Source organism: Homo sapiens, chromosome 1 (genome assembly GCF_000001405.40).
Source record: "Homo sapiens chromosome 1, GRCh38.p14 Primary Assembly".
NCBI classification, from domain to species: domain Eukaryota; kingdom Metazoa; phylum Chordata; class Mammalia; order Primates; family Hominidae; genus Homo; species Homo sapiens.
The window spans coordinates 156,402,846-156,430,423 of NC_000001.11; the positions used below are offsets into that span (position 1 = coordinate 156,402,846).

Here is a 27,578-nt window from a genome sequence, read left to right on the forward strand (position 1 = left end):
TTGCAATCATCCCCTGAGGTCCAGATTGACCTCAGGCTAAGAGTCCTGGTCTAGAAGGGCTGAAAAGGCTGCAGTCAGTGTTTAAATGGAAAGGAGGAATTTATACACATGTGCTTGGATGTCTACGGAGTAACCCGGGGAGGACACAGGTACCAGTTGTTTCCTCTTGGGAGAGGAGGTGGGTGGCTGGGGACAGGGGTAGGAAGGAGATGTAATTTCTCTTTTGTGCTGTTAGAATTGTGTCATGTGTGTTATCTTAAGTTTTTTCATTTAGAAAATTTCCAGGATTCAAAGTTTAGTTCCATGGAGGGATTATGGAAGGGAGGAAGGACTTTCTGGAAGGTGATGGAGAGCTTAAATGGTGCTGCTAGTCTGGGCTCTGTTAACATCATCCAGCAAGGCTCTCTAGAGATGAGAAGGGGCCTATCTTTTGGGGGCGCATGTTGGATACAGATGTGTTATGAAGAAAATGGGGTCAAGAGCACAGTCTTAGTTTTTTGCTATGGCTTTCCTGCCCCCTCAAGTTCCCCCTCAGGCCTTGTTATTGTTGGGAAGTCCTACTTGCTGTCTAATCTGAATCCCTCTTTTTTTTTTGAGACGGAGTCTCGCTCTGTCACCAGGCTGGAGTGTAGTGGCGCGATCTCGGCTCGCTGCAACCTCCGCCTCTCGGGTTCAAGCAATTCTCCTGTCTCAGCCTCCTGAGTAGCTGGGACTACAGGCGCCTGCCACCACACCCGGCTAATTTTTTGTATTTTTAGTTGAGACGGGGTTTCACTGTGTTAGCCAGGATGGTCTCAATCTCTTGACCTTGTGATCCGCCCACCTTGGCCTCCCAAAGTGCTGGGATTATAGGCGTGAGCCACCGTGCCCGGCCTGAATCCCTTTTAATAATCATATTCTTTCCCTTATGTTTCTACTGAGGGTGGACAGAGAAGAAGCAGGAATGGAAGACCCTTTGGGGCAGGAGTGCTCCCTCTATGTGGTCTGTTCAAACCCAGGAGGACATTTATGAGAGTCCTTTTGTGGAGGAGACAGAAGGCCACCCAGTGACCTCCTGCACAGGCACTCTAGGGGAGCATCACCACCCTCTCCCATTCTCTTGGTCCCTAGTAGGGCACCTAGGTGCTTCCTTGGATGGAAGCATTAGCCCATGACTTGGATTTGGGACTGACCGGATCACGGATGGAGTTCTGGCCTTGGGGTGGCTGAGGGCGGTGGAAGCAGCCAAGATGTTCACTCACCGCCCCACCCCCTACCAGGTAGGAGTTCTGGTATTAGAGGCTCCCCCGCTTCTGCTGCAAGGTTGGCTTCTGTATCACAGATCTCTGTTGAAAGGAGCCCAGTATTGCCCCCTCTCTTGCAGCCCCTCCCCTTCCAACCCTGTCCAGGTATATCCACTACCACTATTAATGTGATTCAATATTCAAGAGTCTTTATTGAAGACTTGAGATGGGACTTCCAACTCAGAGGATGTGGGAATCCCAGCTCAAATGATACAGGATAAACTGGGATGGGCTAGGATGGACAGGCTGTGGATATGGGAGTCATGGGTCAAAGTCTTATCCCAGATGGCTCCAGGTACAGTGGGCTTCCTGGGCTGGAAGCTGGGTCCTCCCCACTTCATTCTGCTCAAAGCTTCTTGAAGGAGCTGGTTTGACTTCAACTTGCTAGAGCCTAGCCTCATCTTTCAGTCAACTGGGAAGGCTTATCAGAGGGAATCCAGCCCAACCAGATGAAGTACATTCTTCTTTTTGGTCTGAAAAGAAAAATTGTCAAGCGTAAAGAAAAATACTTCTTTTTTTTGAGATGGAATCTCACTCTGTCACCCAGGCTGGAGTGCAGTGGCATGATCTCGGCTCACTGCAACCTCTGCCTCCTAGGTTCAAGCAATTCTCGTACCTCAGCCTCTGAGTAGCTGGGATTACAGGCGCATGCCATCACACCTGGCTAAATTTTGTATTTTTAGAAGACACGGGGTTTCGCCATGTTGGCCAGGCTGGTCTCGAACTCCTGACCTCAAGTGATCCACCTGCCTCGGCCTCCCAGAGTGTTGGAATTACAGGCGTGAGCCACCACGTCCAGCCAAAAAATACACTTCGGATGGAGACTTTAGGAGGAGGCAGAGGACAAACTTCCAGCCATCTTGGAAGGAGCTCACTTCCATCAGGCAAGGTGAGGAGCTAGGGAAGGGGTCATCACAAAGGGATCCACCATGACAGTGGCTTGAGTCTAGGCACCTCTTCCACCTCTTCCAGGTGCTCCATCCAAGGCAATGGGGGGTGAGGGAAATGCCTAAGGCGTAAACTCAGATCCCAAGAACGGGAGAGATTAGGCAGAGAGCCCAGGGGACTTGCTTCAGGAAGGCAGGGTGCAGGATGCACTTGGGCTAAGGACCAGCCTGGAAGACTTTGGTCGCTTCCACAGCTCCCATGGCCTCTTCCCCAATCCTGTCTTCAACCTGCAAGATGTTTATCATCCCTCAGACTTTACCCCTACACTGGAGAACATGCCAAGAATTCCACCTGCCTATCTGGTCCTCTCTTCTCTCGGTCCCTCCATTTGTGTTTCAGAAGTCAGCACAGGGGAGGAAGGGGACATATGCTTTGGGGTCTACGAAGACCCACTTGAAGCCCAGCCCAATTTACCAGTCCTGTGACTCTGGGAAAGTGTCTTAGCCTTCCTGAGGCTTTGATTCCTCCTTCATAAAGTGGGGACAATATCACCCGGTTTTCAGGGCTGTTGGGAAGATTAGCTGAGATAATGGCTATGAAAGGGCTTACACAACCAAATGGGCACAAATCAGGGTCAGCTCCTTCCTTCCTGGGCTGGGGAAGCTATGTCCAGGAAAGGCAAATAAACCCAGTAGGGGCTGCACAGGAATCAGGTGTCAGGCACAGCTGTGGGCACAGCCTTCCTTTCCTGTCCCATCCAGGGTTGGGAGCCAGCCGCTTTGGAAACCCCCAAAGTTCACCTCCCTTGACTTCTCCAAGAGCCTTAAGATCTGAGAAGAGTTTCAGAAAGAGGAGGGGATCTCGGCCACGGCCCTGCATGGCCCAGCTCCACTCAGACGAGTGTGGCCTTTCTTCTTCCTAGACTCTTCGCAGCCTCTCCCAGCTCACATCCCTCCTCCCTTCCCCAGCTCCTCCTCCCCCTACCTTTGCCAGCTCTCCAACCTGGATCTTGACAGTATGGAGGAGTGGGGATGAGAAGTCTGCCTTGCCCATCATATCAGGAGCCCCTCAAATGTAACGACCCTGTCTTCTCCAAACCTGATCTCTGCCAGGCCTGTTTCCCTGACCCCCTCTGGCCCTCTTCCTGACCCGGGCTGGCTGCCAGGACTCAAGGTGGGCTGTCTGTTCCTCAGTGCCCCTCTAAGTCTGCCAGTGTGTCTCCTTCCATGCTCTCTTGCCCATTCCTTGCTCTAGATCCTCAGCCCAACTGGGAGTCCTGCTATCCCTTGAGTGGCTAGATTTGGGGGAACGACAGAAGAGACTGGTGTCTGTCAGGGCCTGGGAAGGGGTGGTGGATGCAGCTCCATGCGGTGCCCTCCCCTGGGTGGGGGAGGAGGAGTGCAGATGGAACAGCCTCCCGCTTGTTACACCCTCCCAGCCCCAGACAGAGCCAGGCTCTCCTAGCAACGGTACAGTAGCAGAGGGCTGGGAAGTAAGTGCGGCGGGGGAGCAATGATATCATAAATTATCCCTGGCCCCTCCCTCCCAGCCCACCCTTCCTCAGTTGAGAATGGCCTCCTTTTTCTCTCCACCTGCTCCTCATTCAGGATTTCCTCAGCAAATCTGGCCTCTGCTTAGTGCCCCTTATAGATGCCCCTCGAGGTCAAAGTGACCATTCTCTGCCTTCCAGTTGGGCTCCAGAAGGAGGGGACCCTCATTATCCCAGGATGTCTCTGAGACCCTGTTGGAACGTTCCCCCCAGGGCAGGAGCTGGGAGACTGGCTTCCAAAGGGGGAGCCCAGAGGGCCTGAGAGACTATTGCTATTCCATGGTCTCCGGCTCCTCTTTCTGGGGTGCTGATGGGGCACAGAAGGGGAATTTCAAAGCATTCTGTGGCATTTACTCCTCTTCTGTAAACAAAAGGTTTGGGTGGGGGCTCCCAAGTCTTTAAGGGGCACTCAGACCTCTCACCAAGCTAGACAAGTCTCAGTTTTCCTATTCTAATAGCTGGAGTCCAGGAACCTTTATGAAGTAACTAAAGCTAGGTGGCATTCCTTCCTTACCTCCCAACTTAGCCATGCCAAGCCAAGAGCCAAAGAGCTGGTGCTATAGCCATATAGATCTTGGTTAGACATGGAGAAGGACTTCCCAAGACAGGAATAAGCAAGATCATGGAATTTCCTGGTTGGAGAGAGGAAAAGTCTGTCGTAGTAGCAGGAAACTGGATGGGAACCTCTTGAATTCTATCTCATTAATTCTTTCTTAGCCACATTAAATAACATGTAGAGAGTGTCTGGCACAGAGCCTGACACATAGTAATCCTCCACTTAGGCTATTAAAAAATCATATGTTATTATGAATTTTTATTGGATAGATATCAGGGGAAAGGGATAAATCCCTGGAGACCCATCTCCCACCCTCTAGGAACCCCGCGGGAAAATCCAGATAGGAGCTAGTGCTCTGAGGTACAATATGGCAGCCAATTGCCATGGCAACAGCAGAAGGAGGAGTCTGGTTGGTTGTGGGGGCGGTGCTGGGAAGCCAGCTGGTGCCAGATGGACAAACCCAGCAGAAGGCATCCCCAGCCGGGTGAAGCTGATGCCCCGTGCCCAGGGCTCAACCTCCATATGCCAGCCGCAGCCTGGTCCTTCCTTCCAGGCCTAAAGGCCCCATTGCTGTCTGTGGGGGATGATGCCAAAACCATTCCTCCTCCTGACTCTTGCTTGTATAACAGGGAATGACTGCTTGGAGACAAAAGACTGTCCTGCTCAAGGTCCCCCTGGTCCGTGGGCTGACGGATCTAAATAGGTCTGAATTACGCTCACTCCTGATCATGCTGAGGAGCCATCACATCGGGGACTTGAGAGGTCCTGAGTGGCAGGACGCAGAGGCACCGTTCTGTACACCTGGTGGAGATTCCACAATGGCTTGTGCTGCCTGGAGGACGAGGAGATGAAGGCTGCAGGGAGGGAGCAGGGCAGGTTAGGGGCAATGTGGCAGAGCTGCACCCTACCTGTCCCCTCCTCCTGGTATGTTGGGTGGCATTCACACCTGGCCAGTGGATAAAAGAGGCTGCCGTTGTGGAGTTCACCACCTAATTGTTAACAACGGGTCCCTCTCGAAACAGCCTCAGCAAGATGCTCACCTCCTTCAGACCACAAAAGCCCCAGCCATGGAGCCCAGCCCCATTTCTCAGTCAGGCCTCCGTTATGGACTGCACCCGGTGATCCATGGCCCTCACAACCCAGGAGGCCTTCCTTGATTGCCCCCACCTACCTCAATGGCCCCATAACTGTGTCCCTCTGCACTTAGCATTTAACACTAAACATCTGCATACAGCCTTAGAAAACATTCATTCCCATCACCCCATTTGATCTTCAGGATAACCAAGGAAGGCAGTTAGGGTCCAAAGACATGAAGGGACTTGCCTAAGGTCACCTAGCTAGTAAGTGGGGGAAGCCAGAATTTGTATCCTGACCAGCCTGTCCAATTCCAGAGTCAAAAACCAAAAGCTCCTTCTTTTCCTGTCCTTCCTGTGGACAAAGCCCCACTGACTATCAAACCCAGAGCAGCCTGCAAGCTGAGGTGGTGTCCGCCAGCATTCTGCTGCTTCGTGTACCCTGAACCCAAACATTCACTAGAAGGGCCAGCGCAGTCCACGCACAGTGGCTCACACCTGTAATCCCAGCACTTTGGGAGGCCAAGGTGGGCAGATCACTTGAGGTCAGGAGTTCGAGACCAGCCTGGCCAACATGGCAAAACCCTGTCTCTACTAAAATTACAAAAATTAGCCGGGCATGGTGGCAGGCACCTGTAATCCCAGCTACTCTGGAGGCTGAGGCAGGAGAATCTCTTGAACCTGGGAGGCAGAGGTTGCAGTGAGCTGAGATCGCGCCACTGCACTCCAGCCTGGGTGACAGAGCAAGACTCCGTCTCCAAAAAATAAAAATAAAAAGCCAGTGTGCAGTGTGCTCAACAAGGGCTTGGTGGTGGGGAGATGGGAGAAAGGTCTCTACACATCGATGATTAGCAGTAAGTGACACTGAGGCCAGGCCAGGAGAGGAGCCTCTCCTGGGGAAGGCAAGAGTGGGTGTGGAGACTGGGGTGGCCTTGGGACTCCTTTTTAGTTCTGGTCAATCTTGTGTCTCTACCCTCTCAACACAGCCCTCCCTGGAGCAGGAGCACTGTGCAGGAGATGGAAGGAGACCCCATGCTGGGAAGATGAGAGAAGCTCAAGCAGGGTCAGTCCCAAGAGCAGGGTCAGTTCCAAGAGTGTCAGGAGACAGCATGTATGAGCAGGGGATGGAAGGCTGGAGAGGCCTGGCAGGATCAGGAGTTATAGCTGGGAAGACATGGGGAGAAGGCAGGGGCAGGTGAGGGCCTTGGTGCTGGGGCCCTGGGTCTCTGGTTGGATGATGGAGAGGAGCCCATCCTGGGGACAGCTGGACCAGACCATGAACGGCCTCACTGTGAGACCCCGGCCTGGTTTCAGCTTCTCTCTCCTTCCTGCCCAGACCTGGTTAAAGCCTGAGGCCACCTCTCAGCCCTCCCTTCCTCCAGCCCCATTCCACCCCACTCCCTGGGAGCTAAGCCCCCTCACCTGACAGGGCCACTTCCATGGCCACTCACAGAGAAGTCTTTGTGCACAAGCCGGGCCTGGGGGATGGGCGGTGGTGGGCACCCCCACTTACATTCCGCCCAGCAGCCAGCAGCAGCCTCACCATCTTCCCAACTGCCTCTCCAGCCTCTCATCCGCTTTCTTGAGGAAGAATTCCCTCGGAGCCTTGGCCCTGGCTACTACCTCACCCCCAACTCCCTCCCTCAGGAGGGTTCCAGGACTGTGCCCCTTCTTTGCTGCTTTGCTGTAGCCCCCTGTGTCACACAGCCCTGACCACTGAACCTTTCTTTTTTCTTTTTCTTTCTTTCTTTTTTTTTTTTTTGAGACAGAGTCTTGCTCTGCTGCCCAGACTGGAGGGCATTGGCCTGATTTCAGCTCACTGCAACCTCTGCCTCCCAGGTTCAAGTGATTCTCCTGCCTCAGCCTCCTGAATAGCTGGGATTACAGGCATGGGCCATCATGCCTGGCTAATTTTTGTATTTTTAGTAGAGATAGGGTTTCACCATGTTGGCCAGGCTGGTCTTGAACTCCTGACCTCAGGCGATCCACCTGCCTTGGCCTCCCAAAGTGCTGAGATTACAGGCTTGGGCCACTGCGCCCGGCCGGCCCTCCCTCCCTCCCTTCCTTTTTTTTTCATAAGAGAGCTCAGAGACTAGCTTGTTGCCCCACAAAGTCAGAGCCAGTATCCCTGTCCCCCAACCCCCAGCAGCCCATCCCCCTGCCCCGACATCAGGGTGCTCATTGTGCTGAGGGACACCAACTTCTGCTTCTCCACATCTCTCCCCAGAAAGCTCCCATAAGCTTGCTGCCCCCGCATGTCGTGGGGGAAGGAGGGATTCTGAAGGTGGGTGGTAGAGACATCCCTTCCTCAAGTGGCTTCCAGGTCTTTCATATGTCCTTCATTTGTTTGGAACTAGCTGAGAGCCAGTTAAATGTCTGGCTGGTCTCAATGGACAGCCAGATGCAGGAGTCCCCATCCCTCCTAGGAGTGGTTATGTGTTGCTTTCCAGCCATGCCCTACACCTGGCACCTCTGAGGCTGTCAGCTAACTGCCCCAGCCTCCCTGGTATAGCACATAAGGCGCTTTACAGGGGAATTCCTACCTCTGTTTCCCTTCTCCTCCCAGCAGACTCCCTGCGATGGCCATGCTAGTCCCCAAACATACCCTGCTCTTCCTTACCTACTTGCCTTCTCGAATGCTGTGGACTGTCCACCACCTACTTCCCCAGACTGTAGACTGCCAAATGCCTGTTTATCTTGTATCGCTTATCTCTTGGCGTCCTCCAGGAAGCCTTCCTGAGCTCCCCGAGGTGGCCCCCGGCTCCCTTCCCCATGCCTCCACAGCACTTTGTGCAGGTCTGCAGGACAATGCTTTCCAGACCGTCTTCTAATCATTCATGTGTCTGCCTCACCCAGTAGACTGCCAGTTCCTCAGAGCAGCGTTGTATTCCACACTCCCCTTGAGCATAGCTCCTGGCACACAGGAGACCCTCAGTGCCTGCTGAATGAATGTGCTGACATGGAGGCAGGGGTACCAGAGGGAAGGGAATGGATGAGAGGTGCTACACAGGAAGAAGTGATGGGTTTTGATGTGGCTGATTTGGATGTGGGGACAAGTCCAGGAAAATGTTCAGGAGTTGAACCTGGGGGCCTAGGAGTTTAATGAGGCCACCGATAGAGGTAAGGCAGCAGAAGCACAATGCGGAGGGAGCATCCGAACTGCCTGGGGACTGGACCACCTCCTGGGTTTTGGTGGGAGGTTGTACTTCTATGCTACTACAGAAGCTAAAAACACAGGTACTTTCTGGGCTCTCCTTGCAGCTAGAGCCTAGGCATGTGATCCAGGCTTGGTCAAGCAGATGTACCATTCCAATCTGATCTGGGGACAAATGGCAGGACCACAGGTGGTAGTTGGCAGTTGGGGGTGCGAATTTGGAGTTTAAAAGAGGTCAAGACTAGGCCCGGCGCGGTGGCTCATGCCTGTAATCCCAGTACTTTGGGGGGCCGAGGCGGGCGGATCACAAGGTCAAGAGATTGAGACCATCCTGGCTAACACTGTGAAACCCTGTCTCTACTAAAAATACAAACAATTAGCTGGGCGTGGTGGCGGGTGCCTGTAGTCCCAGCTACTCAGGAGGCTGAGGCAGAAGAATTGCTTGAACCCGGGCGGCAGAGGTTGCAGTGAGCTGAGATTGCGCCACTGCACTCCAGCCTGGGTGAGAGAGCAAGACTCTCAAAAAAAAAAAAAAAAAAAAAAGAAAGAAGAAAGAGAGAGAGAGAGAAAGAAAGAGAAGAGAAAAGAAAAGAAAAATGAAACACAGGAGAATTTATAACTTCAGGTGATGGTTAAAGTGATAAAAGTGGAGTGAGAAGAGTGAGAAGGAAGAGAAAACAAGCTACCAGCAGAACCTGGGGACCACTTCTAGTTAAGGAACTGGTCCATCCGGAGGACTGAATGAATGGAACCAAGAACAGATGATCATGGATGTAACAGAAGAACAGAAGGCCAAAGGAAAAGACTGAGAAAATGGCATAACATTTTCCATACAGGTCAAGGAGGACTGGGCTTGGGAAGGGCCAGTGGTCTTTGTTGAGGGGGCTGTGAGTGGCCTCTGAGAGGATGCAGTTTCACCAGAGTGCTGGGCTGAGGAGAGAAGGTGGAGCATCACCTCAAGTACACAGTCACCTTTCACAGGCCCCAGAGAGACCCTCAAACTAGCAGATGATACTGCCTGGCCACATCTTACTCTCTCTCTCCTCATGCTGATATTCCCCCATTCTGATTCCTCCAGTACTTTTCTTATTACCCACAGTCCTCTAAGTAGTCTGGGAACTAAGCCCAGTGCTGAGGCCTCTCTACCACCCCTGCTCCTGTGCTCAACCTTACATCTCTTCTGGGGGCCGCCATTCATGGTCTCTCCCTCCTTCCTTCTCTCTCCATCCTCTCTTCCTAATTCCATTAACAGGAAGATTCAACAGTATTTCTGGTCAGCCAGGAAGTCCTTCTTATGGCCTCAGTCTGTTCCATGTCCACCAACCAGGGTAGGCTTTCAGTGCACACCTGGTCAGGCAGCCATCTTACAGGCGCCAGTTACCTAAGATGGCGGCCTCCCTCACCCTCCGCTTCCGTTCCCACAGCCTTGCCTCCTACCCCTGCCTCTTTCTTTCTGAAGCCTCAGCCCAACAAGGTGGGGGGCCAGGCTGGGGAGCCAAGGCCGGAGGAAGCAAGACAAAAAAGGACAGAAAAGCTGGCCCCTTGGCATCTCTCTTTGGCATTTGAGTCCAGCTCAGGGAGGGAGGGCAGAAAGGAAGAAAGAAAGTAGTGTAAGTTTTTATTTCTGTCCTCTTCCTGCCACCTCCCCCTAGTCCCTCCCCCAACACTTTGATGAAAACAAAATCTCTCCCCCTTTTTCTCTTCTCCAGCCCCCCTCCCCTTTTTTCCTGGCTTCTACCATGAGCCTCCTGGAATGTAAATGAACTGTATTATGCAAATGCATGCAAATCAGGCTTAACGAGCGGAAGGAGGGGGCAGAATGCCTAATGAGTAATGGCGGAGGGTGCAGATGGAGGGTGGCAGGAATGGCCCCCTCCTCTTCTCTGTTCCCACAGCCTGGAGGTTTGCTGGAGGTAGCCGGGTGTCCCTCACTTCTGGGAAAGAGTAGAAGGTCAAGGCCCCATCGCTTCAGCTGAGAAGGCCTGGGATGTCCTTGGCTGTGGTAGGTGAGGGGCAGGCGAGCTTGGGAAGAGAGGGGGTTAAGTATAAGGGGCTGGTACTCACTTGCATAACCTTGCCCAGAGACACTGCATGCACCAGCTTCCTTGCCTATGTGGCCTGCCGCTGTCAAAACCCTCAGCTTCCAGTGCTGAAAAGAGGGTGACGCTTATGCATGCCATGGCTTGTGCATCAGAAAGGAGGATTCTCAAGGGAAGATTCCCAGCCAGACCCAGGTTCTTCCTGGGGGTAGGGGTGAAAGCTGCCTCTCTTTGTACTTTGGGGGTGGGGGGGCGGTTGCCATAGCAACATAGCATAGAACACCCACCTCCCCAACATCCAGCCTCAGAGGACCTAGGAGTTGGGGGGGATAATGGATTGACACCCCCGATGCCCCCACCACCTGGCACTGCCAGCCGGAGATGGCAGCATCAAATCCTAGAGAGAATGGCCCCTTTGTTTCTAGGCTCACGGTGTTGGGGAGGCAGGCCTGGGCACACAGAAGGGCCTTTCCCAGGCCCCGTTCCAGTTTGCATGACTCCCACTGGCCTCTGGAGACTCCTTGTGGCCATCCCCTGGCCTCTGTGCCCTGGCAGATGGTTGCCCCCTTGCCTTTTCTCCCATGGGCTTGCCAGCTACTGCTAGGTATGCCCTGTCCCTGAGGCCTTCCCTCCAAACCACTTCAGACAGAGGTAGCAGTCTGTTCCACCTTTTCCTGGTTTTCCTGAACACCTTACATGCCAGTCATGCATCCTGTCCTTTTTTGCATAGGGGCAACCTGCAAACTCCCCCAACCAGCAGCAGGCCCGCTCCACACAACGCAGGCAGAGAGACTCGTAAAGGAGGTATCAGACAGATAGAAAGGGCCAGGCTGAAATTCAGGAGCCTGGATCTTGGCATTTCCGCTAACCAGCTGGGCAACCTGCTCACACCTCTTCTACTCCCATGGGATCTGTAAAATGAGGAATATAGGAATGATGATATCTAAGGCTCATTTCAGCTCTACCTGATCTATACCCTCCGTATCTTACATGACCTAGGTTAAATCATTCTTGAAATATAACCTTCATTCTTCCTACTACTGGGGCAGCCCTTCTCATTCAGACTCCCCAACATGAAGACAAACCCAATTGCCCGGAGAGAAGAATGCCAACTTCCCTCAGCCTTTGCCTCTCCCTGAGACTCCAAAGCTGACTGCAAACAATTCCCACAGATTCAAAAATTTAGAATCTTTGATAGCTAACTGTACAGACAGGAGGGTCCCTCCTAACCCTCTCAAAGGGGGTCAGCACGGCCATTTCACTCACCGCCCGGGAGCTGTCCGTGGTGCTGGATGTGGCTCTATCGTCCACACGGAGGAAGGAGGGTGGGAGGGTGGTGCAGAACCCACCCGCCCCAGGTGAGAAGCTAAAGGGAAGAGAAGAAGCAAAAACATTTGGAAACAGTAAGAAAAGGGAAAGATGATACCTGAAGAATGTTTCTCCTCTCTGAAGACCTCCAAATTGCCAATATTACTTTGAGGAAGGAAGAGCACAAAAGTCATTGAATCTCTGATAATTTAGCTCAGTCTTCCTCTAGATCCTATTTGGACATCCACAGGGAGATGGAATCATAGTCCCTCCCCTTGGGGAAGAGCTCAGATTGAGGTGGGAGATAAAGTACAGACCTCTAAATTCCATTCTAAATGCTAAGGCTCCTACAAGGAATTTAGTAATAATAATTTAGAAGACATACAACCTGTCTGATAGTATTATAGATATCAGGAGTTTGGGAGGAGAGGCGGGGAAAGGCCGGGGTGTGTTTGTGTGTGCACGTGTACACATCCACAGGCATGTGGGTACATGCATACGTGTGTGTATGTGTTTCCCAGGTGGAGAGGTGAGCCTACATCAGTGGTTCATAACCTCAGGTGCACATTAAATAATAATGATGCCTAGGCATCATTTCCACATACTCTGATTTCATGGATCTGGGGCTGGGCCCAAACATCAACATTTTTAAAAAAGCTCCCCAGGTGATTCAGTGCATAACCAAGTTGAGAATCACTGACCTAGAAGAAAGCAGGTCAGAAAAGGTGCAGGGGTGAAGCCTGATTAGCTGGAGGAAGAGGCAAAGCAAAGATCCCTAAAGAAGAAGGGAATGAATAAAAAGGAGAAAGACAAGCATGTAAATCCTCTTTCCTGGGAGCTCCTGGATGGCCCCTAGGCCTGGCCTGGAGAAGAGACTGGCTCAGGTGTTGGCTTGTCTCCTCTGTGCTGTAGAAGCTCAAACCACCCCAAGGCAATGAGACAAACTGTCTCCCCACCGCAGTCCCTTGTGCAGGAAATGGGTGCAATGACCCTAAGGGGGTGCTGCTGCTCCCCTTTACCCAGAGGGTCCCCAGGGAGGCGGCTGTAGAAGGTAAACAGCAACAATGGTCCCTTTCAGTGTCCAGACTCCAACCCTTCAGTCCAATTAGCAGACACAGCAAACAGCAATTCAGCAGCCTTCAGCCCCTGTCATAACAAACTCAGAGCTGCCTTAATGGGGGGATTAGGGCAGGAGGAGGAGGGGGTGTCACTTTGGCCCTGGGAGAGCCTGGGTGGCAAGGAGGGGGTTCCCCCTTTCCCCTTCTCTCTCCTATCTAAATATGCACCCACCCACCCTTCCTTCCATAACTCTGCTCCTCATTCTCCTCAAAGCCCCAAGAATGTTTTTATAGTTTTGTCTGCTTCTCCAGTGATTTTAAAGCATTAACCTAAACTCATGATCTCCTAGGGAAGTCAGCACACCCTGTCTCTGGATGAGACATACTCACCCCTCAAGACCTCTGAGGTCCCAATAGCAAAGGAAGGGAGGTGGGAAGGTCAATCCATACCCAGAACATTGGAGTGAAGGAAGGTGAAAAAATAAATAACCAGATTCCAACTTTCAAACCTTGAACATGCAGACTTCAAGAAAGACTTTCAGACATAGGGGCCTGTGTGACTCTGGTGGGTTACCAACCTTAGGAATCGCACTGGGGACTGGGGGGATGTTGGTTTGTGAGGCGAAGGGAGAGAAGACATCCCTTCTTAAAGTCACTCAATTATGAAGACAAGTCTACATGCTGATAGGCAGGTCTCTATAGGATTTGTTAATTATAGCCACTACCTAACTTGTCCTTTAATTTAATAAACTGTGTTTTTAGTTACTTAGAATCCAGGAGCTTAATGGCATAAACTTGAAATTATCATTTACACATTCTGTATTTATCTATGTAAGTCAGTTTACCCATCCTAAGTGCTGTTACCAATAAGTCTTAATATCCATTAAGGAGAAAGAAAACAACGGCCATTCTGCCACGCGGACTCCAACCTCTTCCCTTTATCAGGCTTCCCAAGGACTGTGCCTCCTCTCCCAAGTCTTCAGATACTTCCTACCTAGGTCCCCAGGAGTCTCACCTTGACTCCCAAAGCTGGAAAAGGAGGAAGTTCCTCAAGTTAAATGTTATGAGATCCTCAGTCAGGAACATGCCAGAGAGCTGCCCTTTTTACATTCTGAAACAAATCATATGCTATCAGTCTTTCCAAACTGTAGCCTTTAACCTTTCTGCAATCTAAGAATTACCGTTTAACCATGAGTGTCATAACATAGTATACGATCTTTTATATAGAATTCTTCATTTTCTGCACACAATAATCCTAAGGGTTTCTTATCCTGATTATACAAATATCTGAATTGAGGCTCAGAGATTTGTGTGCTTGATAAATGAAAACACCCAAACATGGACCTTGGTTTGGTCAAATTTGCTGTTTCTATTTCTGTCTCTCCCACGGCTTGCTGACTAGGATGATTCCTGTGACTGTAAGAACTTATCAACAAAACCCTTTCCATGCCTGGAATTGGGTGGGAGGAGAATTTGTCCAAGAGTGAGGGTGTGGCTGATAATGCAACACTTGGGTCAAATATTTGAGAGAAAATTGCCTTTGGCTTTCTGGACCTAGAATTCAATAGGAGGGTATTAAAATGAGGGGCTGAGGAGAGAAATGAATAAAGAAACCAGCTTACAATTTGGTTTCCAGTAAAAATAGTAGATGTAGCAGTATCTAAAGAATAGAACTGAAAATTCTTAGACACAGGCAGAGGTGTGATTATACAAGAGAGGAAATTTCCTAACTGGTAACTCTGGTGAGGCCTTTCTGAGCCCCTTTTAACACGGCTTCCCTGCACCCCAGTCCCACAGTTCTCCTGTGGGGTTCAGTTGGAGGAGATGCGATCTGGTACAGAGGGGGTGGGGAGAACTCAGCAGTGTCACCGTGATGTCTGCATTTGGTAACCTTCCAAATCCAAGAGTGTCTGTTCCTAGAGTGGATTTATACTTATATGTAGCCAGGTGTCCCTAATATCACGACCGAGCTTCCCACACACCATGGAAGCACATACATCCAACCTCACACCAGGTCACACACCACTCAGTTTCTCACCCTCATAAAGCAGACACACACAGCTCACAAACACAGTCACCCATCACTCTCCTGACAACCCCACCCACACACCCACATGCACACACCATATGCTCACATAAGGCAGACACAAACCCTCACCCCCACATCCCTCCTGGGCTCTATTCCTCCTTTCCACTGAGGTGCTGGCGTTGTAGGGTGTCAGTTCTCAACCCCTCACTTCCCTCTGTTCTCCTTTGGATATCCTGAGGTAGGTCAAATGCACTAATAGGAGACAACAATAATAATGTAAACCCATTGTGGTTACTGATACAGGTTCTAAGTCTCATGTGAATGAGCCTCAGTGGATCCCAAATACACATTTCCAACAAGCTACATGAAAGGCTTTCGTTATTGTTGTTTTTTTGTTTTTAAAGGAATCCTATCTTTCTTGGTGCTTCTTCTCTCATCCCAGCTCCCAGCCCCTGCTCACAGGCAGGGCTTTTCTCTTGGTGCACCCTCCCCCTCCCGTGCCCCATGCCTTCCTTTCTCAGCTCAACCCCATCTTACCCTCCCTGTTTCACTGTCTCTCCAGTTGTTCCCACAGGCAAGTTCAGTAGAAAAAGCACTGGGTTGGGTTAGGCCGGCCAGGGTGGCTCATGCCTGTAAACCCAGCATTTTGGGAGGCCGAGGCGGGCAGATCAAGAGATCAAGAGATCAAGACCATACTGGCCAACATGGTGAAACCCCATCTCTACTAAAAAAAAAAATACAAAAATTAGCTGGGCATGGTGGTACGCGCGCTTGTAGTCCCAGCTACTCGGGAGGCAGAGGCAGGAGAATCACTTGAACCCAGGAGGGGGAGGTTGCAGTGCGCCGAGATTGCATCACTGCACTCCAGCCTGGCAACAGAGTGAGACTCAATCTCAAAAAAAAAAAAAAGGAAAAAGCACTGGATTGGAAACCACTGAGTAACATTAGCAACTCATTTGAGTCCGTGGTTCCTCATCAGTAAAATGGGGTTAATAATGACTATCTCACAGTGTTGAAAGATAAGAGAAAGGGATGCAGGCCCAGCGCCCAGGAAGTAGTGTTAGGAATTATTAGTCCTCGCCTAAAACCTGCTCCCTTTCTCCCTAATCCAGTCTCCACCTGCCCCTCCCCCAGAAAACCCAAATTCCAAATGGCTGAGAAAGTAAGAGGCTACTAATCTCGCCTTCCTCTAAATCTCTAAAGGAAGAAGACATATGTATTCTAGGCTCCCTGAAGCACAATTTTTTTGAGTTTGGATTCTCCAATATTTCTCCCACATAATATATAATTGAATCATTATCTTCTAGCTATAAAATCAGGTCCTGGGAGGAAATGTTAAATTTACACAGGAAACTGGAGTCAGTCAAGGTCATTTTGTCCAGTTCTTCCACCCCCTTATTACTCCTTCCTGCCCCGTGTCTGGGAAGGCCAGGTGCCGGCGTATGGGATGCAGACTTGTAGTAAATGCAGACAGAGCTACTTCTAGCTTTGGCTACATTGACTTCTATTCCACAAAGTGACTCTAGACTATACTACTTTCAACGCACCTAAACACTCTTTCACTTAAAATATTTAGGTCAAGCCAGATAAATGGATTCTTTTAGGAAAGGCCCTGATTAATCTCTCTAATTCTTTGCTTTCTCTGGGCAGCATAGATACTAAGCTACAAATTCCTTTGTGTTTGAGATCCTCAGAGCTTCTTGAGGCCATTTGTTCTTGGAGATGATTTCCAAGACTGAAGATGGGGTGGGAAGGTTGGGTGTCCTAAAAGGCCCCAACTCAGCCCCTCTGGTCAGTAATGACAAAGCAGCATAAGGATCTTTTAAAGAGATTGGCCTCAGGTCCTGGGTCGGAAGGAGGAATGTGAATGGAAATGGAACCGAGATTGCCCTGCACTCCACTGCCCCAGAACCCAGACTGGGCAAAAGGTTCTTCTGCCACCCTGTTTACATTTTTGAGCAACCCTCCCACCCTTGGCACCTTCAATTCTATTTCCTATTTTCACGTAGACACCCTCATCTTCCAACCAAGCTGGATAGCCCTACATGGCTTTAAGGAGCCGACTTAAGCAAAGACCAGTGTTCTCAGGTGACTTCCTCCAAACTCCCCCACCCAGCCATAGCTGTGGACAGCCTGTGGGAAAGTGTTCACCAGCTCCCGCTGGAGGGAGAGGCCTGGGCCGGGAGGCGGAATAACCCTGCAGCTAGATTTCAACTGATTTCTCCCTTAGATCAGCTTCCCAAGCAGTGACCCAGACTGCCAGAAAAGGCCCCATCCTGAGCGGGGACCACCAGAGGGCACCACAATGAGGCTTCCTTGCTCCCCCTCAACTCTGCTGGGGGAAAAATATGGCACCTGGCTGAAGTGAAATGGGACTGTGACTCCTACCTGTGCCGACTGGGGTGCTGGGGGGGTGAAATGTCGCCCGAACCAGTGAGGTCTCTCTCCTCCTCTTGTATCCTCTGGTGCTGGTCAGTCCTCGCGGCTCTAGCCCCTCGCTCAAGCCTCTCCCTCCCGCCCGTGAGGCCGGCTTTCCCCGGGCCCCTCTGCGCAGTGTATGGGGTTATTTTTACTTTCGGTTATCTAGCTTTATGAAGACTCCACACCACTCATACAGCTAGATAACCAAAGATAACAACCAACCCCGCCTCCTGGCTGCTGTCGCCGCCTCTTCCACGCAGCCTCCCGGCCGCCGCCGCCGCCAGCACCTCCGCAGCTTCCCGGTCGCCCGTCAGCGGGAGTAGGAGGGAAGGGACACGAGTGGAGTTGAGGGGGAGGGTGAAGAGAGAAATGAAGTCCGAGACAAAACAACAACAAAAACCTCAGACACGGAGATACAGACACGACAGAGACCGAAAAAGGCGTGGAAAGGACGCGATGACCCGTGGCGTCGAAGTCGGGGAGTTGACCCCGATCCAGACCCAAAAAGTTTCTGGTGCCCCATTTCCCGCTCTCCCATTCGGGCCAGGAGCAGGAGTTCCGCTGGTCCCAGGTGGAAGGGACGCGCGGGCTTTTCGTGCCACCCGGGAAGACCGCAGCGACCCAGGCAGAGGCCTCCCCAGCCTCGCCGGGTCTCCACTGCCCTTCTCTGGAAGATCGAGGGCGCATCCGACAGCCAGAGCCCTGCCTTCGGCGGAGCCCGAGCCTGGCGCGGGATGGAAATGGGGAGCCGCGGTGCCGGCCCGGCCACGTCGCCAACTCAGAAAGGCGTTGGAAGCGAAGCGGAGCCCTTGTGGGGGAAAGAGCCGGATTCAAGAGGCCGACTAAAAGGGGAAATGGGCAGCCAAACCCCGGAGGTAAAAACCCCAGAGATGTCCTAATAGGAAGCAGGGAAATCCCGGCGACCCAAAGAGAGAGGAAAGGCTGTGGGGGGCGGGTGGGGGCGACCCAGAGACTCCCAAGCGAGTCTCTCAAGGAGAGAAGGAAACAGCAGAGACCCCACCCGGGAAGAGATCCGGGAGAGTACCCATGAGAGGGGCGGAGGGGAGGAAAGCAGAGGGCGACAGGGCAGGTGACCAGAGTCCCAGGCCCTGCAGAGCCCCGGATAAACGGCTTTGTTCAAAGAGGACCAGAGATCACCCAGGGTTGTGAAAATGGCCGGGGGTTCGAGGCGAGCGGTGCTCTAGGGGTGGGAAAGGGGTGCGATCAGGAACGGGAAACCGCAGCCCCGAAGAGGGTGGGGGCTCGGCCGGCCCCTCGTGGCGGACGCGCGGGCACGCCGGATTCCGAGGCGCTCGCCCACCTCGTGCTCCACGCTGGCCAGGCCACTTACATCGAGCCCAGGGTGCCCATCCGTGCTCTCCCGCGCGGTCCTCCCGGCCAGTTCCCGCCCCTGGAGCGCCAGGGCCCTGAGTTCCAGATGCCGGGGCTCAGCGGGCGCCGGGCAGAGGAGGCTGCCCTGCTCTTAGCCTCCGCCGAGCCTAGGCGAGCAGGGTGGAGCGGGTCTCACCTCCTAGCTCCCTCCTCTGCCTCTGCCGCGGCTCTGGCCCCGGCGCGCTCCGGCTCCGGACTTTTCATTCATCCTTTCACACTCCCTCCCCAGGCCATCCTCTGATTGGCTCTACCGCGTCTGACGTCACCAGCTCGTTCCCCGCCGGCCCCGCCCCTCCCCCTTCCCGGGCCGGCCGGGGAGCGCAATTGGGGCGCCCCTCCCCACTGGAGAATAGGGATCGGGGGACTACTACGTCTCTGTGCTGATTCTCAGCCTCTTGCTGCCTCACTCACCCCCGAGACCCGCCTGCCACCTCCAATCCATTGCCATTTGTGGTTTTGATCTCCAACCTCACTCATTTTGTAGGTTCTACATTTTCCATTTTGGCCCTAGGTATGCTGCACCAACACCAGGGCACAAAGATGGAAAAGAGGTCAGGTGAAAGCCCCTCAGAAAGAACCAGATGACTGCAGACTCTACTCCTATCGCCTCCTCCCATCAGAATATTCTTTGTGCTTCTCGGGTTCTGATCCTTAGCAGACTGTGATCCTAACCTTTTAGAATGGGCAGGAACCTGTCTTGCTGGTTTTCAACCCAAAACAATGAGGGAAAGATCCTGGAAGTTTGGGATTCCTACAGGGAGATGCGGGGGTTGAGCGGTGCTGAGCCTCCTTTTCCGCCTTGCAGAAACTGGAATATCTCTTGAATGTGTTCGCAGCACCAAAGTTACAGGTAGGGGAGGCTGGGGTGAGGATTCCAGCTGGCATCAGCCGGGACAAGACCCACAGATTTTCATCCAGCCATGGAGGCCCTTGCTAGCGCCTTCTTGCCCTTCCTCAACATGGTGAGACTCTGACCTCTAGCCCATGGTCCAGCTCCAGGTGTCTGGAGAGCTGGGGTTATGGGAGGAGGATCGCCCTCCAGCAAGGTTCCGTCTGGGACTTTACCGACCTGGCTCCTTATCTGGCCCAGCGCGACATTCCTGGCTCGGCCTCTGCGCTGGGAATCAGGGCTGAATAATGCCTAGTCTCAACCTTGAGAGGTAGATACTCGGCGGCAGGCAGGATCCGAATCCCGCTGCCCAGTAGAGCTGGAAGAACGAGCTGTGGGCCCCTACCTGAGCTCTGCCAGGGAGCAGTTCCAATTCCTGGTCCCAAGCCACCCCACCCTTCTACCCACTCTACTCTCCACTGCCTTACTAAAAAAAAACTATGACTCAGATACCTGGAGTCTGTCAGCCAGATTAACCTGGGCCAGCTCCTATAACCAGGGATCCTTGAACACTAGGCCACCAGGGCCGTGCTCCAGGGGATGACCAGTTTCGTCATCAGGCCCCATCGGATTGTTTTATCTGCCTGTCTGCACAGCCCAGGACAAAGCCAAGCCTGAAAGCTGTTCTTGGCTAGATGCAAGCCTGTGGGCAGTGGGTTTAATTCGGTGCTTCCCCCAAAGATTGGAGAATATCTGAATAATCGCTTCCACTGATGTTGGCAACACGACTGCAGGGTGGGGGGCAGTTTGGAATAAGATAAAGCCTGTGAGCCGGGTGTTTCCCTACCAGGATGATAATATGGTGCTGAAGAAAACATCTAATTTCCCAGGTCTCAGGGTGCTCACAAGGCTAGACTTGGCATAGCTTTTTCCTTCTGTCAGTCGCCACAGGGTCTCAAGGCCCTCACCCAAGGGAAAGGCTTTCTAGACGCTTCCACAATGTCAATTTTTTCACCCTCCAGAACAGGGAACACACCAGCCAATGATGAGGAGGGAAGGAAAGAGACAGAGATGGTGTCCCCTCCCTATTTTGCTTCCTCCTGCCCCCTCCCAGGTGCTCATACAGCTTAGAATGAAGCACTCAGGGAGCAGAGCACTGGGGTCCTTGTCTCTGCAGTAGAGTTGCGAAAAAACCCAGAACCCCTCTCAAATATTCTCACAGATAGACTCACCTCCTGATGTGCCGCTAAAGGCATTCCCTAAATGCATACCCCATCAGCCCCTGAAAACTATAGGCTTTCCAGCCATTCCCCTCCGTGACTATAAATCCCCTCAAAGATTTCTCATGAAACCACACCATACCCATTTCTAGGATCCCCAGTACCCTCCAGACATTCCAGCAATTCTAGCTAGGGCCTATGCTTCTCCAAACATACTACCAACTCCCCCTACAAATATCTCCCCATTTGCCCTCCCACAAGATCCCTTAAAAGCACCTTAAGCAAAGCTTCCTCCCTATCCGTCCTCCCCTCACCAGCACCTGGGAGGCTGGGGCCGGTGAGGAAGAGTGGGCTGTTCTGCTAGCTAAAACTCTCCCCTTTCTCCTCTGTTACCAATTTCCAACCAAGTCCTCTGCCCTCTGTGGGGCCCAAGCTTATCACCACAACCCCTTATCCTGGCCTGGGCTGACCAAACAGTGCCGCAAGAGGCAACTGGAATCAGCATGAACCTCCCTTCTCTTTCGGCCACTGCTGTATTTTTATTGGAGTGGGGAGATAACAGAGAGGTGTGGTTTTTTTGGCCATTGGAGGCTCCCCCTCTCCACCTCTATTGGTCAAATTCAGACTCAGCTGGACTTTCTAAAAAACCAAGGTCAAGAGGGAAATGGGTATATTTAGATGTCTTCTGAAAATATGTCTAAATTTCTCCAAATAGCTTGATAAAGAGCAAGATCGCTCTGCCTCTTAATGAGGCTTTGGGTTCTTCATAGTTAATTCAGCCTAAAAGAGTGTCCAAATAAAATGAGGAGAGACCCCCAACAAAGGAAAACAGTGATTAGTCTAAATTGTCCTGGCAGTACCCACATAGAATCCCCATTTCTGTCAAGGTTGCTAATGAAGTAATTTTTTGTTTGGTTTTGTCTGGGTGTGGTTGACAACCCAGTCTCCCACCACCCCTGCTCAAGGATAAAGGTGAGTAGGGCATCTGTCTTTATTCCAATGGAGAAAGAGCTATCAGCCATGAAAGAAGCAGAAAACTCCCCACCATCATGTTAACTGGGACTGGTTTGTATACCATTGTTCCAGTTTCAAAAAAGAAACTACTTGGAGGGTGGAAAATGAGACAGTCTCTCCAGAGCAGGGGCAATTTCACACATATTCTTGTCCATGGTAGCTAACACTATGCCTAAAGCATAGTGGGTGCCCAGTAATTGATCAATTAATAGAGATCTGTGTACCGTGAGTATGTCTGCAAGTCTGCATTTACCATCAGGTAGATTGAGGGCATTACGGATGGGGAGTGAGGGTCTTGGTAAGTTGTATGTTCTGTGGGATCTGTGGGGGAGGCAGAGGGGAGAGTTGTGTCTATTGTGTTGTGGGTCCGTGACTATTTGATCGCTCCTTTGACCAGAGGAGACCCTTCTACTAATTAGATACAGCAGGCCTATAGGAGCATAACAGCTGGAGTAAAATGGGTGCATTAGGTGCCCTTTGGGCTTGGCCCACCAGCTTCAGTATCCCTAAGAAGGTCTCAGTTGGAGTAGTCCCCTGATTCCAGCATACCGCACAGTCAGCTGGAGTGTTCTATAGAGCGATGGACTGCAGACCCCACCCTGAGTTCTTCCAGGGAATTTCTAGGGGGCTGTGGGGAGAGCACATCGATTCCCTGGTGCTGGTGTGAGTCCGCAAGTGTCTTGATTAACCTAGGAGCCCACATTTTTTGCCAGTGCCCGTCCCCACCCCCATCCCTTATAGCCCTGATGCCCGCCTATTGTCTGTGTGCCTGAAGAGGCCCATGTAGAGAAAAACATGGCCCGAATTATGCTCTCTGGATGCAGCTCTTGGATGGATCTTTATAATTCAGATTCCAGAATACATTTTGGCAGTCAAGCACTTTCTTGAAATAATCAGGTAATTAAATAAAAAGCATATATTTTTTCTATGTTCCAATTACCAGATTAATTTGCCTTGAAGACACAGATGAAAGCTGCATTTGGGAAAGGGTGGATTCAGATATTTATTTGTCTTATAAGTGCATCATTATGAACAATATCATACATTTTTTGCTATAGAAATCTGCATTGTCTATGGGATAGTCACAAATAAAAGCAAGAATTAGCAATAAAAAATACTGAGGCTGTGTGAAAAAAATATATATATACAAAATATCTATTCATGTGGGCAGAAAAGGTAGGAGGTATGGAGAAATAATCTGGAGGATATCGTCCCTAAGGATGTCACACTTCTTCCCCACGAGAGAGTGGTATGTTCCTCCTATTGAGGGGCCAGCTTGAGAATTCCTTGGGCTTGTGTAAGTACTGCCTTCCTTGCCTGCTCCCAGTTCTATTCTTGAGCCCACACATTGCTCACTTGCCTGAGAACCTTATGTGTCTGGGAGGTAAGAACAAGGTGGCAGAGATGGTAGAGGGTTGGCTGGTTCGTCCAGACTGAGTCCTTTCTACAAGACCCTCAACCATCAGCAAATGGCCTCCTTAAGGGGCATAAGCATGAGTATGCAAGGGTGCTGCGCATCACACACACACACACGCACACACACACATGCACACACATACACATACACACACGCACACACATACACGCGTGCGCACACACACACACATGCACACATACTCAAACTTATCAACTCAGACCAATGCAATGACAAATCCACTGATACTCCCAGCAGTACCACCTCCCAGTGCTTGCAGTTGTATACCCTGGCATACATACCCACTCACAGTTATTTAAGCTCCTTGGGTCCCCATTTACCATACCCCATGCTCCTCTTCTTTCTCACCTCTGTCACCCAGGTACAAGTATCTCTGTTCCCTTCTCCAACCAATCATCTCCCCCAAGGTCAATTGGCCTCCAACTTTGCCCTCAGGAGCCCATTGGAGAAGGGGAAAGAGTTCCCTGTATCCCCAATGCCTTTCCTCTCTATCACAGAACTGGAAGCAGGGTGGCCTATCATTGACTATGTAGGTCTTTCTACAATTGGAGTAGACCAAAATCAGGGGCCGAAAGCTGGAAGAGACAGGGAGAGGGGTAGAGGGGTACAGAGAACAGGAGAAAACATAAGTGAGACAGGGCCAGTTTTCCTTTTCTTCCCCCACCCACTCCACCATCAGAAACAATAAATAAGAAAATAAATACCCCAAAAGCCATAGGTGGCCACCTACGATGACACCAGAAAACAAATGAGGCTGCTTCTTCTTGGATGCCCAGCTCCTGTCAAGGAGGAGAATGCAAAGGTTAAAGTCCTTTGAGAAGTCCAGCCTTCTTTCCCTGACGACCCCCAGCCTTCCTATCACTCTCTCAGCCACTCCTTTTCTCCTAGTCCTGCATCTTCAGGACCTGGATAGTCTATGTTCCCCTCTTCAATCGCCAGGCTTGAGGCTGCACAGGGGGATAATGAGAAAAGCCTAGACACGCAGGCATGGCCTCCGGCCTGGGCCTCTCAGCTCCATCTCGCCTGGGCAACTCTAACCCAGCCTTATCCTCACAACCTCTCTCATCTCCATCCAAAACCTTTGGGCCCAGGGATTTGGCCCTGTTCAAACAGCCTGTGGAGATCTTAGACTTAAATCCAAGGAAGTAATCTCCTGCCCAATGGACATTATCTCCTTGCAGATTCCTGCTGCCTGGGGTCTATGGGAGAGCATGCTCAGGATAGAATGAAGGAGCTGAGGTTAGGGATATATTTTTGTCTGTCTAGATCTAACGCAGTGTAAACTGTAAAGTGTTATGCACATTTATGATATTCTCAATCATGTTATCTCTCTTGCTTTCTCCACTCATCTCTGTCGTGACCTATCTACTTATCACCTATCCAAGTATATCTCTCAGGATCCTGTAGTGATCAATTTTCTCCCTCTCTTTTTCATACACACAAAAGGTGTGAAGACAAAGCATTTATTTTTTATTAGTGTTGGGTATGAACCCAGTCTCAGCACTTTATAGTCTTATCTTCCCAGAATTTGGCTTTCAGGTTAAATTATGATTTGGGGGAGTGGCATGTATACCGCAGGTGACCTAGCTTCTAAAATACTGTGATAAGTATTTTTACACTTATATGTGTATGTGTGTTTGTGTGTGGGTTGGGGTAAGCTGGTGAATTCTTCCATCTCAAACTCAATTCCACAACTAATTTTTTTAAGTCAGGAAGATAACCTACCTAAACGTAGGAAATCAGAAAAAAGGGGGGCTGGGGAGCAAGGACAAGCCTTACATCCAAGCCTGATTTCTAGGAGGGGTGCTTTGAATGCCCCCTCCCCACTTCTAACACTCACAAATACTCACTTGACTCCCAGCCTCAGCTCTGCCAGCCCATCCATTTCATAAAGGGATGTCTCAGTCTGAAATTATCTTCAAACCAAAGAAGGGGCTACCCCCACCCCACACCAATTTGCTGACATGCTAGAAAACAGACATAAGGACAGTTAGGGGGCCTCTGGCTCCTCCCTCCACCCTAATCAATGAGAGTTCTGGGGTCCCTGGGGCAGTTATCCCCCTCATCACTGATCTCTGCCCTGCCACCCCCCGACAAAGCATACACAATGCCTAGGGGAGCATGTTGATGAAGAACACAGCCCAGCAGGCATGGAACATGTGTGTGCACGTATGATGGCTGGCAGCCTTAGCCTCGCCCAGCAATCTGGCCTCTGGGGTTCCGGGAATAGTCTGCTCCGCTCCAGCCTCCACTACCCCACAATGGCCCCAATCTTGTCTCCCAGAAAGCACAGTGTGGGTGGGGGACTAGGGGCAGGAAAAGTGCTGTCTTTATATATCTCCTGGCCTTCCGTAGGAAAACACACACACACACACACACACACACACAAACACACACACACACACACACAAACCCTCCATTAGATGGGTGTGAAGAGGGCTGGGGTAGGGTTCTCTCCCCTTCGAGAACCTAAGCATTTTCCCTGACACCTCACTTGCCTTTAGGTTCCACTCAGCCCCTTTCCCACCTGCCAGCTCATAGGAAAGGGGGGAAAGGGGAATTAAATTAATCTAAATCCTATAAAATGTTTTTGGATTTTTCCCAATTTTGGTCTCCACCTTTCTTTCATCTGGGGACATCTGGCTCCTTTCCCCCCATGCCCAAGTCCCTCAGACTTTGTCCTCCCCTAAAAGCTGAAGTCTCTAGGTCAGAAAGGAATAAGAGCCAGATGGAGGAAACAAGGTCAGGAGTCCAAATACAGAACCATTTTTTCCCTTCCTTCCCATCTCCACTACAGTTTCCTTCCTGCCTCTCCTCTGGTGCAAGCATTAAGATGTTGGCCATGTCTGGTGGAGAGAAGGGAGGGGCAGATTAATAGGATCAGTAGCACCGTGACCCTAAAGCCCCCCCACAATCCCATTGACAAACTTAGTGAGCTGTCTCCAGCCTGCATGGGCTGGGGGAAGGAGGGGAACCAGGAGACACTCTGGGGCGGGTGGGCAGAGCCACTGCCTTGGGCTCAGCGATAGGTGCCCAGGAGGCTGGAGGTGAGAGCCTTGCTGCCAACTCCACCTCTACACACATGCCTCATCCATTTTGGGGACCCCCCTAAATCTTTTATCAGCCTTTTCTTTCTGTGATGATTTTGCACCAGCCTCCATTAGCCAGTAGGTAAAGTAGGAAGGTTAGGGCGTCCTGACTGATTTTAGGGGATCTCTTCCCACTCCCAGCCTAGATGTCTGAGGGGGCTGGGATCCTCCCTGGACCCGAATGGGCACTTACCAGGCTTCTGTGAGGAGGAGAGACTGTTCGGGTGGCCCCTGCGGCTGGACTGCCTCTCTCCCCCCAGCTCCTAGCCTCTTGTGGAGTGGAGGATGCAGCTCCGATGACGTAGCATCTGTCTATCCATTCAGGAATTTCGCTTGCCTCTCTCTTTCTTTCTCTTGCTGCTCTCCCTGGAAAGGCAGCAAAAAGGGGGTGCTGCCCCTCTCTGGAGACACTACCACCACCACCACCACCAAAATAACAGCCCACTCTGACGAAGCCCCTCCTTCTTCCTTCCAATGCCTGTGTGGGCAGGGGTCTTTGTCACCTCCACTCTGCTTGCCACCTCCCCTGCTGCCTTTTCTAACCTGAGGCAGGAAGAAGGGGCTAAGGGAAGCTATTGTTCCTCCAGGCCACCCTCGTCCCCAAGGGAAGCAAGAGAAAGGGTGTGATGGAAAGACTCGGTCCCTAGTCTCCGAGTTTTAATTCGCTTTGGAACTTGATAGAGTGATTAAGTGGTGTGTGGAGGGTGAGGCGCTGAGCTGATAAGGAGTCATGAGAAGGTGACACAGTTTGCCATTTGAAGGCTTAGGGCATTCCAGGCCCCCCTTCCCAGGCCTCCCCTCAACTCCTATCCCGGTCAGCTTAACTAATCACAAATCCAGATCTTACTTGTGAAGGAGACAGTGACAGTAGGAAGATGAAGGCTGAGAGTTGGAGGGGGCGCATCTTGCGGGGAGATGAAGGCCAGCACTTGGAAGTCTAGACAAGAGAAGAGAAGGGGTGGGACCACAGAGTCAAAGTGGGAGATAAATTATCTTTTTCCTAGAGGAGGGAGAGCAATTTGGGGGTTGGTTTCCAGGGCTGGGGTCCCGATATTTGGTGGAAGCTGGGGCCCAGAATGGTACAACGGTCGGGTCTCTTTTCTCTCTCTAACCCCCATCCTCAGCCCCTCCCTTTTTCTCCCTCCCACTCTTCCTGGTCTGCATGGGAACTCGGTCTGAGCTCGACGTGACAGACAGCAGGCCTGCATGCTAATGAAGTTTGTCTCAAGTTCATTGTCAAA

At 51.4% G+C, this 27,578-nt stretch overlaps 1 long non-coding RNA gene and 1 other non-coding gene across 14 annotated transcripts, besides 5 other annotated features; both read right to left on the reverse strand.

Annotated features, from left to right (window-relative positions):
* Positions 1 to 1,406: 1,406 nt before the first annotated feature.
* On the reverse strand, positions 1,407 to 26,703 carry MIR9-1HG (MIR9-1 host gene). Of its 13 annotated transcripts, none has more exons than NR_168070.1 (7): positions 26,531 to 26,581; positions 23,953 to 24,027; positions 13,924 to 14,019; positions 11,809 to 11,908; positions 4,997 to 5,130; positions 4,235 to 4,352; positions 1,411 to 1,756 (listed from the first exon to the last, which is right to left on the reverse strand). It is a non-coding gene; the product is annotated as an MIR9-1 host gene (long non-coding RNA). The 13 variants fall into 13 exon arrangements; NR_135268.3 differs by lacking the exons at positions 13,924 to 14,019; positions 23,953 to 24,027; positions 26,531 to 26,581 and adding exons at positions 11,211 to 11,453; positions 15,067 to 15,189; positions 18,710 to 18,924; NR_135264.1 differs by lacking the exon at positions 13,924 to 14,019 and having other exon boundaries at positions 1,407 to 1,756; positions 26,531 to 26,703.
* Positions 9,735 to 10,235: an enhancer, noted in NCBI's record as "H3K4me1 hESC enhancer chr1:156382372-156382872 (GRCh37/hg19 assembly coordinates)". NCBI's record gives its function as "activates a minimal SCP1, AML or CMV promoter by ChIP-STARR-seq in naive H9 embryonic stem cells {active_cell/tissue: H9 hESC(naive)}" and the evidence as "EXISTENCE:reporter gene assay evidence [ECO:0000049][PMID:30033119]".
* On the reverse strand, positions 17,496 to 17,584 carry MIR9-1 (microRNA 9-1). Its single transcript, NR_029691.1, has one exon. It is a non-coding gene; the product is annotated as a microRNA 9-1 (primary transcript).
* Positions 17,602 to 18,133: an enhancer, noted in NCBI's record as "H3K27ac-H3K4me1 hESC enhancer chr1:156390239-156390770 (GRCh37/hg19 assembly coordinates)". NCBI's record gives its function as "activates a minimal SCP1, AML or CMV promoter by ChIP-STARR-seq in primed H9 embryonic stem cells {active_cell/tissue: H9 hESC(primed)}" and the evidence as "EXISTENCE:reporter gene assay evidence [ECO:0000049][PMID:30033119]".
* Positions 18,584 to 18,753: a silencer, noted in NCBI's record as "silent region_1426". NCBI's record gives its function as "represses an Ori minimal core promoter by ATAC-STARR-seq in GM12878 lymphoblastoid cells {active_cell/tissue: GM12878}" and the evidence as "EXISTENCE:reporter gene assay evidence [ECO:0000049][PMID:35858748]".
* Positions 19,064 to 19,213: a silencer, noted in NCBI's record as "silent region_1427". NCBI's record gives its function as "represses an Ori minimal core promoter by ATAC-STARR-seq in GM12878 lymphoblastoid cells {active_cell/tissue: GM12878}" and the evidence as "EXISTENCE:reporter gene assay evidence [ECO:0000049][PMID:35858748]".
* Positions 19,314 to 19,815: an enhancer, noted in NCBI's record as "H3K4me1 hESC enhancer chr1:156391951-156392452 (GRCh37/hg19 assembly coordinates)". NCBI's record gives its function as "activates a minimal SCP1, AML or CMV promoter by ChIP-STARR-seq in primed H9 embryonic stem cells {active_cell/tissue: H9 hESC(primed)}" and the evidence as "EXISTENCE:reporter gene assay evidence [ECO:0000049][PMID:30033119]".
* Positions 26,704 to 27,578: the final 875 nt, after the last annotated feature.